This window comes from Homo sapiens, chromosome 15 (assembly GCF_000001405.40).
Source record: "Homo sapiens chromosome 15, GRCh38.p14 Primary Assembly".
NCBI lineage: Eukaryota > Metazoa > Chordata > Mammalia > Primates > Hominidae > Homo > Homo sapiens.
In genome coordinates, this window is record NC_000015.10 from 38,728,240 (window position 1) to 38,740,009 (window position 11,770).

The 11,770-nt window shown below is 37.8% G+C and overlaps 1 long non-coding RNA gene across 1 annotated transcript; it reads right to left on the reverse strand.

Moving 5' to 3' along the window:
• Positions 1–2,114: 2,114 nt before the first annotated feature.
• On the reverse strand, positions 2,115–3,897 carry LOC105370776 (uncharacterized). Its single transcript, XR_932121.3, has 3 exons — positions 3,768–3,897; positions 2,946–3,253; positions 2,115–2,198 (listed from the first exon to the last, which is right to left on the reverse strand). It is a non-coding gene; the product is annotated as an uncharacterized LOC105370776 (long non-coding RNA).
• Positions 3,898–11,770: the final 7,873 nt, after the last annotated feature.

Below are 11,770 nucleotides of genomic sequence, written 5' to 3' on the forward strand. Positions count from 1 at the left end.
CTACGGCCTTACACTCACTCCCCTAAAATGGTTTTATTCCTATTGGGTTATTTCCTTGACCAGGTAGCAAACCTTTTAGGCACAGGTTCTTGACAGATTGAATTGACAACAATTGAGAAGGAAGGCGACAAATCGTAGCTTTGTAAGAGCACAGCAATAGCATTTACACACTTGTTTTATTTCTAGGAAGAAACATAAGTAGAGAAGGCTTTGCAAAAACTCTTGCCATTAGGTGAACGTCATCAAATGGTTATTAGAAGAGGGTGGCCTACAGCACTGTATTCTGGCTTTGGAAGTGGGTGATTTGCCTTTCCCCAACACCTCTCTTAGAAAAAACAAACATGGAGTGGCTGAAGCCACAGTTGGCTGAGGCTAAGTTTCTGAGGGATTGACTGGTGAGGAGATGGGGCCAGCCTTGCACAAGGTGGGTCTTAGAACTGGGCCAGAGCCAGGGTGGGAGTGGAGGAGGTTGCTTTCATGTAATTTTCTTCGCCTGTAAGTCTGGAATTCTGCAAATTTTCATAGCCAGTTTTGAGGTCTTTTTACTTTAAGTCAGATCAAAGGATAAAGGAACTTAGGTTAGAGTCAATTTACTGATGAACTAATTTAAGTTGCAGAGGCACAGATACTGTGTATCTCTGTCTTTCCTCCCCACCATCCCTATAAAGTCCTTTTAGTCATATATGTATAAGGAAACGCATTTAAGGAGGGAAAACACCTGGAGATGCACATCTAATCAAGCTTCCCATATCCCGCTCTTCCTCTTTTATCTCTCATATACATAGTCTAATTTGTATCTGCCTATTTTTCTTTCTTTAAGCCCAAAATGTAGGGCTACCAGGGCATTAGAAGTTATCATTTCCTTCAGGAACTCAAAAATCACCTTATTAAAGGGGTCTTCCTGGCCATAAAAAATTGCGTTACCCGCTTTCCAACCCATACCTCAATCATTCCCTCCCCCACTTACCCTGCTACCTCTTTTCTACAAATATCTTATGCTGCCTGCCATATCATATATTTGTCTGTCCCCCGCTGCCCTGGAATGTAAGCACTATAAAAATGGGCCTTTGTTCTGTTTGCTGATGTATCTTTAGTGTCTACAATAAGGTCAGAAAGTAAATGTGGCTCTGTATCTAATTGATATTTCAAAACTTAAATACCAGAACCTAGAGAGTTTCCTCTTTTTTTTTTTTTTTCATTTAAGCCTTGTGGTCCTCATTGTTCTACAGCTCTTTGGTGCTGTATTAGAGTATTCCAAAGAAACAGAACCAATAGGAGGTGTGTGGGTATATATGTATCTTCACACATATATATATTTTATATACATATATACATATATTTTACAGATGTATTATATAAAAATATTTCATATACCATATGTATTATATATATTATATATATATTTTTAATGTATGTATATAAGATATATGTTTATATTCTGTCTCTAGAGAAAAATATAGATACCTAAAAAGAGGTTTATTATGGAAATGGACTCACCCAATTATGGAAGCCAAGAAGTCCTACAATGTGCCAACTTCAACCTGGAAAAGCAGAGGAGCTGACTGTGTAATTCCCAGTCTGAGTCTGAAGGTCTGAGATCAGAGGGGAGAGGAGAGAGCAGGGTGGTGACCACTGGTGTAGGTCCCAAAGTGAGTCTGAAGACCTGAGAACCAGGTGTGAGAGCAGGAGAAAATGGATGCCTTAGATCAAGAAGAAAGAGTGAATTCTCTCTTCCTCTACCTTTTTGTTCTATTAGGTCCCTCAACAGATTGGATAACTTCTACCCACATTGGTGAGGGGGAATCCTTTCCACTCAATCTACTGATTCAAATGTTAATCTCTTCTAGAAACACTCTCATAGGCACACCCAGAAATAACGTTTTGGTAGCTATCTGGGTATCCTTTAGCACGGTCAAATTGCACATAAAATTAACCATCACAGGTGCCTTGTAATATATGACTTTTTTGTAATAAATCAAATTTTTCTGGTTATTATCAATGGAAATCTTCATCTTATGCAAACCATTTCATTTTACCTGAAGGCAAGTCTCTCTGCTTCTCCCTGTACCCACCCAGGGCTAGTTCCTTAGGTTTGATGCAGTCGTCTTGTTTTTTCTTTTTTCCCAGTCTCAATGGATCACAGAGGATCAGGGCAGTATTCTCTGCTGTTTGATCTGCTGCTATGATGCTCCCAGGGCCTGGAAATAACACATTTTGCTCATGTCTTTGCCCATTCTCCATGGCCATTTGAGCTCACTGGCTAAAGGTTCCTAACCTTTTATCTCTTTAAGGGACACCTGATTTGGATGTTATGTTTGGATGTAATATGTTCCTGTATAAATTGCAGGTTTGTTTATTCATTCCTCTTCAATAATAAATTGAGGATATTGCTGATTTTCCAATACATGAACTAACCTGTTGCATGGGTACAATATGGCAGTGATTGGTAACTTCATGATCTGGATGCTAGTTGAAGCAAAGCACCATCAGTTAACTTTCTTATTCATAAGTTACAGATATGCTACCTAACCCTGTTTATGTTGTATAATGGAGTTAAAAGTTTTTAAAGATTCCAACAAGCTATGGTGATGGACTGAAACTGTAGAATAAAATAGAATAGGGATATATATGAAATCCTATATTTAGAAAAAAAACTTGGCTGTGAACAAGATAGAAAAATATAGCTTAAGGGAAGACTTTGGTGTTTATTTACCACAAACCATAAATAAACTCCCAGTGTGATGAGGTTGCTAAAAATAACATAATAACATTTTAGGCTCTTCTAACACTGGTGTGGCATCCAGGTTACTTCTACTTTTCTCGGTCATACCACATCTAACTTATTCCAGTTTGGGCTTTACTTTTTAAAAAGAACATAGATAAATAAGAATTCATATAAGCACAATGAAGACTTTGATGCATGTTAGACTGGAGAAGAAACTTACTCTTTAGTGGCTGAATTTAGATAATGGGAGCATGGCCATGTACTTCTTCCGTGTCTGGAAGACAAATGACCAAGTCATACCCCTATATAACTGCAGGCATTTTAGTTATTAGAGCTGTTGAATGAGGTGGGCTGCTCTCTTGAGAGAGAACTCCCTGTTCTTGTTGGTGTTCAGAGGATGGTTGTCCCCCTCTCAGGAATATGGTAACAAAATGGAAAGTTGCAGGCGATGATCACCAGCATTGCTTCAACATTAAGATGCTCAGCTTTGGGGTAACTTTTCAGCTTCATATCGATGTTGTGAGAGCCCTAAGATAGGAAGAAAAAGAATAATAAGATCATTCTCAGTCCTTAGGAATCTGCAATCCCTAAGGAGGTTGACTGGATCAAAGGGAAGAGGGAAGAGCAATGGTTTTCATTTCTTTCTTTTTTAAAAAAGTAACAGACTCCCCCTTCTTGCCTTTAAAAAATGAAATGCAATGTAGAACCCAACTTGGAAAATGAATAAAGAGGTAATTTGAGTGGACAGGACTAGGGGCAGCCTCTGACCTGGAGCCCCACCTGCTCAGCCTTTCCCTCACCCACAAAGAGGCCCCTGTGCTTCTGTGGAACCCAGGGTGCCCTGGAGTTCAGCATGAAAACCACTGCTAAGGGCAGGCTTGAGAGAAGGTTCTTGGATTAGCAAGAAGGAAGAAATGGGAAAATACTGGGAAAACCCTGTCCAGCCTCTTTGGTCCCATTAAACACGCTATGTCCACAAAGACCCAGAAACAGTTTAAAAAAAAAAATGCTGAGGAACTTTTCCAGCCCACTTCCCTTCTACCTATTCTGAAGTGCTGCATTTCTTGACTCTTCTTAATGCTCTGTTTCAGGTCGATGTCTTTTCACTCTGCTTCTTCAGAATTAGTGACCTTGTTTTTTATTTGTTTGCCTCGTTGAGATGGGCCATCTCTTCATTCAGTCCTCATACATCAGGGGAGAGAAATGGTGTAGAGTCCACACGGGCAGACGGCCTAAACACTGGGGTCTGTTACCTAAGATGGAAGGTCTGGCTGCCCCAGGGTAAGCTGCCCATGTAATCTCCAAGAAGGGCATGCTGGAAGACTCATGCCTGAAACTGTGGTAGGAAATGGCCCCTATCTCCCCTTCCTGTCTCTTCTCACCACAGATTTAGAAAATATATCTGGCATGGGGACGTGGGTGGTAGGGACAGAATGGCACTGCAGCATAAACCATCTGTAGCGGAGTCCAGCACACTCAGTATGGGTTATTCGAAGAGTTTAATGAAGGTATAGGCAGGATTTAGTGGGGAGTAACAAGGGATGGAGGACCTAAATAGGAAGAAAAAGAATAATAAGATTATTCTCAGTCCTCAGGAATCTGCAATCCATAAGGAGGCTAACTGGATCAAAGGGAAGAGGGAAGTCCCTAGGTCTAAAGGGACAAGGGAAGGACTGGTTTCTAAATCCTACACACAACAAAAACTATGGATAGGGTTGCCCAACAGGAGCTATGCTCTTCAGTAGAGAAAGGCAGCCAAATGATGGCAACCAACAGGAGTAGAGCTAGAGGAACAATACCCTGATTCCACTGTCCTCCTGCCTTCTGACCTCTCGTTAGAGCCTTCCATTGTCTGAACACAATGGGAAGTCAGATATCAATGGAACCCCTTGATTGTGCTCATACGTGTCAGTCTGTGCATTCCAGGTAGGGTGGAAAGTGGATCTGACTGAGAAAATAAAATATATTTAGCACACCCAATCCCCCAATCCAGGCCGGGCTTTGTGTTTCAGTGATGTGGAGAACATCACTTTCAGACCACCTCACTTTTGTTCAAGGCTCAGTGAAAATCATGTGTTCTACTGATGAGGCATCAGTGGATAAAACTCCTCTCTCGAAACCATTTGCCTTTTTTAGGTGGGCAAGCTCATTCTTACTAAAGGTAATATTGAGCATTTTCCCAATTCTTAGGAAAGTGAGAAGCTGAAAGAGTCATTTAAGAATATCTGATTTTACTTCCAATCTGACATTCCCCTTCTGTGGTCTTCTCAGAAGACACTTGGGCTGAGATATCCGGCTGATCCGAACTCCAACATGAAGCATCCTTTCTGCTTTAGATTGACCCCCAAAGAGTGAAGGTAAATAAAAACTGGCCTTGACTTTACAACATCTTTCTGTTCAATTCTCTTTGGTGGGTCAAGTCCATTTACTTCTCCAACTTGGAAAGTATATATATATATATGATTTTTATGTGGTTTCTAGAATAACATCCTCAAGGAGTGTGATGCAGGTAGGAAGTATTTGAAAAATGTTCATTTATCCAGCAAATATGCTTTGCTGGATGTTTTATTCAGATGGTATCTTAGTCCATTCAGGCTGCTATAATAAAGATGCCATAGACTGGGTGGCTTATACACAACATAAATTTGTTTCTCATGGTTCTGGAGGCTGGGAAGTCCAAGATCAAGGCACTGGCAGATTTGGTGTCTGGTGAGGGCCCACTTCCTGGCTCACTGACAGCCATCTTCTCACTGTGTCTTCATGTGGTAGATGGAGTGAGGGAGCTCTCTGGGGTCTTTTTTATGAGGGCATTAATCCCACTCATGAGAGTTCTATCTGTATGATCTAATCATGTTCTAATTGCCCCACTTCCAAATATTGTCACATTGGTGATTAAGTTTCAACATATGAATTTTGAGGGGACATAAACATTCAATCTATAGCAGATGGACTTTGTGAATGAACTACTTTTCCTAGAGGTACACTGTATTTCTAAATTACAGGAAACTCAAATATAAGTTACCCCCATGGAAACTTATGAAGTGTCAGTTTCCTTTTTCGTTGTACAACTACGTATTGAGTATTCATTATATGATAGTATTTCGGTTATCAACTCCTGCATAAGAAACTACCTTAGTCCCTTTGGCTGCTATAACAGTATCTTAGACTGGGTAATTTATAAATAACTGAAATTTATTGCTAATAGTTGTCTAGGCTGGGAAGGCCAAGATCAAGGTGCCAGCCAATCTGATTGGGTGAGGTGAGGACCCGTTTCTCATACATGACACCTTCTTTCTGTGTCCTCACGTGTCAGAAGGGGCAAACAAGCTCCCTTGGGCATCTTTATAAGGATACCAGTATTATTCATGAGGGGTCTGCCCTCATGACCCAATTATCTTCCAAAGCCCTCATGTTTTTAATACCATCACTTTGGAGATTAGGTTTCAATGTAAGAATTTTGGAGGGGACACAAACATTCAGACTATAGCACCACCCTAAAACTCACTGGCTTAATACAGCAATTTATTGTTATCTTTTATGGCTTAATGTGTTGACTGGGGCATCTTGAGACAGGAAGGCCTGCTAGGAGAATCCTACATTCCAGGTAAGAGAGGCTGAGGGTCTAAACAAAGACAGCGATTGAGAGGATGGACTGCAGGGGATAGAATTAGAAATCTCTAAGGGCAAAACTGGATGCATTGGGCAACTGTTTGAAAGTTGAGTACAATGAAACTATGTTTAATTCTTGGATTTCTGTCTAGAGCCTTTAGTGCCTCAATTTCTCAATGTAGTTGGTAAGGGAATCAAAGATATCTAAGAATTTTTATAAATTTATGAAAGGCTTAATCTTCAGATAGTAGAATCCCATTGAGTACTGAGCAGGAGAAAGAGAGAATGAGTGTGTGTGTATGTGTACGTCTGCAATTCTTAAAAGTAATCAAGATGAAAAGACAGAAAAACCTTGATTAGTCCGTTGTAAGTTGGGAAAAGAGTATAAAGAAGTAAAAAAATATGGTCATACAAACATGAAATACAATGAAAAACTAAACAAGAAACAAATAAAAATATCAGTTCTTACCAATATAAACAGCTTGAAGACATCTATTAAAATACAGATTTTCAGAGTGGGTGAAAATATATTCCAACTATATTAATATATGTGAATATGCATGTACATATGTGTATATGTATATAATGAAAAAAGATATAGCAGAAAAATATTAAAATGCAGGTAATTAATCAGTGTCATATTAATGTTACAGAATATTTTTAAGATAAAAATTACTAGTGATACAGTATCATTATATGATGATACAAAAAACAGGAAGATTTTATATTGCATCTTATATGCATCAAACATATATTACTCTTGGAATGACAAAAATTAGGGTACAGAGAGAAATTGATAAATGCAGTCAAGTGCTATATAACAATGTTTCTGTCAACGACTGACTCTCATGTGGTGGTCCTATAAGATTAAAGCTGAAAAATGTCTTTTACCTAGTGACATTGTAGTTGTCATAATGTTGCAGCACAACACATTACTTATGTCTTTGTGGTGATGCTGGTATAAACAAAACTATTGCACTGACAGTCATATAAAAGTCTAGGACACAATTACGTATAGTACGTAGTACTTGATAATGATAATAAATGACTGTTACTGGTTTATGTATTTACTATACCTTCTATCATTATTTTAGAGTGTATTCCTTTTACTTATATAAAAGAGTTAGCTATAAAACATCCTCAGGAATACTTCCTTTAGGAGGTATTCCAGAAGAAGGCATTTTTATCATAGGAGATGACAGCTCTATGCCTTCTTCTGAAAGGTCTTAGGGGAACAAGACATGGAAGTAGAAGACAATTATACTGATGATTCTGACCCCATGTAGACCTAGGCTAATATATGTAATTGTTTGTGTCTTAGTTTTTAATAAAAAGTTTAAAAAGTTAAAAAATAAAAAAATAGAAAACTTATAAGGACATAAAGAAAATACTTTATACAATGTGTTTGTTTTAAGCTAAAGATTATAGAAGAGTCTAGTTAAATTTAAAAGTTTATAAAGTAAAAGTTACAGTAAGCTAAAGCTAATTTATTAAAGTGTACACTGTTGATAAAGTCTACAATGGCAGACAGTAATGTCCTAGACCTTCACATTCACTCACCACTCACTCACTCCCTGGCCCAGAGCACCTTCCAGTCCTACAAGCTTCATTCATGGTAAGTGCTGTACACAGGAGTACATTTTAATCTTTTATACCATATTTTTATGGTACCTTTTCTATGTTTAGATATGGTTTAGATACACAAATACTTATTGTTATTATTGCCTACAGCATTCTATAGAATAATGTGCTATATGGTTTTCTAGCCTCGGAGCAATAGGTTGTACCATATAGCCTAGGTGTGTAGTAGACAACATCATCTAGGATTGTATAAGTCCACTCCGTGATGTTCGCACAGTGGCAAAATTGCCAAATGACATGTTTCTCAGAGCATAAACCTGTTGTTAAGCAATGCATGACTGTATAATCATAATAATTCTAACATACCTTTCTCAGAAAATAGTATATGAAGTGATAAATTGGTAAGAAAAAGGAAAACTTGAATAACATAGTTAATAAGCCATATTTATGAGGTTAGGAGAGGGGATGGTGCAGAAACATCTTAACCACAAAATGTCAATGACTTAATAGTCATGATTTTATTTCTCACTCATAGTTTGTCCAAAAGAGCCTGGGGCTGTGGCCCCACTGAGGCTAATGGAGGCTTCTTACCTTTTAGCTCCATCATCTGGGACAAGTGGCCTTCTTCATTCATGGCAGGAGGGGAAAAGGGAGTGGAGATTTACGCATGGCTTTTCACTGCTTCAGCCTGGGAGGGACGTGACCCTTCCACTCATGTTACACTGACTAGAAATAGTTAGAAAGCCCTGACTGACAGAAGGGACCTGGGGAGAGGGGATGCTGCATTCTTAAGAACAGATGTCTGTCACAAAAGGATCTAATGGAAACAAAGAGAATCTTGCACCCATAGTGCATACGTTGGAATTTTGTTTTTCAAAACTGACCACATACTAGACCACGAAAAAGATAAATATTGTAGAATCAATGTCCTTCTCAATGATATTCTTCTGATTTTCAAATTTGAAAATTAAATAGCACACAAATGTTTCATGTGTCATAGAAGAAGCCATAATGGAAATCATAAAATATTTAGAACTAAATAATAAAAAATTACACAATTTAGAACAATATTTGTGGCATTCAGCTAAAGTGGTACATTGAAGAACACTGAAAATTTTAAATGTACATATTAGAAAGGAAGAATAATTGAAAAATAATGAGTTCACTGTTTCATTCAAAAATGTTAGGAGAAAACAACTACAAGTAACATTCCTGAAGTGGTAGGAGGAGAAATTGATGAAAAGTAATCTAAAAAACAGCAAAGGAGATAAACAAGTACCAAAGCAGTTTCTTAAAAAGAATGACAAAATAGACAACCTTCCGGAAACATTGAGAAAAACAACATAAAATGAAAAAATGAATATACTATAGATAGCATGTAGATTAAAAACAATATTGTCTTTTATGTCAATAATTTGAAAATGTAGACAGTATGTACAATTTTATAGTAAAATATAACTTATTAATCTCGACTCAAGACATAGACAAGCTGAAGAAACCTATATATCTTAACCTATAGCTTTAAAAAAAATTGAATCAGTAACCAAAAACCTCCAGCAAAGATCATATTTAATGACTGAATGATAGACACATTCTCTTTAAAGTTAGGAATGTAACAAAATTTCTTGTTACCAGTGCTTCTATTTAAAACTTTACTAGCCGGGTGCAGTGGCTCATGCTTGTAATCCCACACTTTGGGAGGCCAAGGCAGGTGGATTATCTGAGGTTGGGAATTGAAGACCAGCCTGGCCAACACGGTGAAACCCTGTCTTTATCAAAAATATAAAAATTAGCTGGATGTGGTGGTACACGCTGGTAGTCCCAGCTACTCGGGAGGCTGAGACGGGAGAATCGCTTGAAACCATAAGTTCAGTGAGCCGAGATTGTGCCACTGCACTCCAGCATGGGCGGCAGAGCGAGCTTCCGTCTCAAAACAAACAAAAACAAAAAAACTGTACTAAAGTTCAAGATAGTGCAGTAAGATGAGAAAAAGAAATAAGAGGTATAAAGATTGGTTATGGAAGAACCAATTTCATTGTTTGAAGATATAATCATTTATATACAAAATCCAAGGGAACTTTTAAGGTATAAGCACTGAGAAGTTAGTATCATTCCTACATATTTATGGGTGTCAATTAATAAACTATAATAGTACATACATATACACATATATATTCAAATTGCTATATATATATATTCCATTCAAAATAGCAATTTGCAAATCCACAGAGTTTCACAATGGCAATAGCAAACCTACAAAATAGATAATAGAGAAATTAGGGAAGCCAATTAAGGATCACTCAATAGACCAATGATTAAATATTTGTATAATCATACTTGAATATAGCATAACAGTTAATGTGAAATAATAAACTCTAGTTCTATTAATCTTAAGCAATTACTAGGAAAGAATTGAGTAAAAGATATCAGGATGAAGAATATCTGTAGCCTGATACTACTTATGTAAATTGAAAAATGTACAAGATGCTACTTATTGCAAGTGGATATATACATATGCTGTGAAAGTATAAAACATGGACAGGAAAGATGCCATACCAGCCTCAGGAAGGAAGTTATTTCTGGGAAAAGAGGGAGAAAAATAGATTGGGAATTCAAGGATTCAACAGTAATGTCTTATTTCTTTAAAAATTATCTGAAGCAAATGATAACAAAATAGTAAAATTTGCTCACTCTGGATGGTAGGTAGCTAGATATTTTATTGTTTAAATTTATCGCACAGTTAAATAAGTTTTAAACAATTGAAAAAGTGAATAGGAGGTAAAGAAATGTACACAAAGTTCATTGCCAGTACTTTGAAGAAGTTTGATCATGAATAAGAGAGAAATGCTACACTTTCTTAATGGAGAGGCACTGGAAGTTGAAGCCAGTGCACAGCTCCCCACTTAGCGGGAGTTTACCAGCCTTCTTGTGACTGCTTTATTCTAGGTACAGTGATGACCTGTCTGCAGCATCTCCTAGCTGCTTTTAATCATCAGGGGGATGAGTCTCACTCCGTCACCCAGGCTGGAGTGCAGTGGTGCCATCTTAGCTCACTGCAAGCCCCGCCTCCAGGGTTCACGCCATTCTTCTGCCTCAGCCTCCTGAGTTGCTGGGACTACAGGCACCCGCCACCACGCCCGGCTAATTTTTTTGTATTTTTTGTAGAGATGGGGTTTCACTGTGTTAGCCTGGAGGTCTTGATCTCCTGACCTTGTGATCTGCCAGCCTCGTCCTCCCAAAGTGCTGGGATTACAGAGGTGAGCCACTGCACCCGGTCTATATAATATATTTTTAAAATAAAGTCATGCTTGCTCACTATGGAAAACTTAAAAATGCAAAAAAGTACACAGAAAAGAATGAATCATAATTTCATCATAATGTATTAATGCTTTCATTTCTTTTACAAATATCATTAAGGTTATACCATACGTACAGATTTTATCTTGATTTCTTTTTACTTCCCACATAAATACTCATGTTACTAAAAACCCTACAAAACAGAAGATTCTGCATCATTTACTTAATCAGACTTCTCTAGTCTTAGATTTGGTTAAAATAACAATCATAAAATCCAACTCTCAGAGCACGTTTGTAAAATTAGAGACCCTTTGGCTATTTGGCCACCATGTGTCTAACATGGGCAAAGTGGAAAGAAAGGAATCTAGAACTTCAAGGCTTATCAATGTGAACCAAAGCACTTGTTGGGAAGCAGTGGCCAGGAGCTCAGGTTAAAATGCTTCCTCTTTCCTACCTTATGTGGTGGTGTTGGCCGAAGTTTATCCATGATTGACATGAATGAAGTGTACTTTTGGAGAAACCTTCTATTTCCTAGGTACTGGGGAGGGCAATGATTCA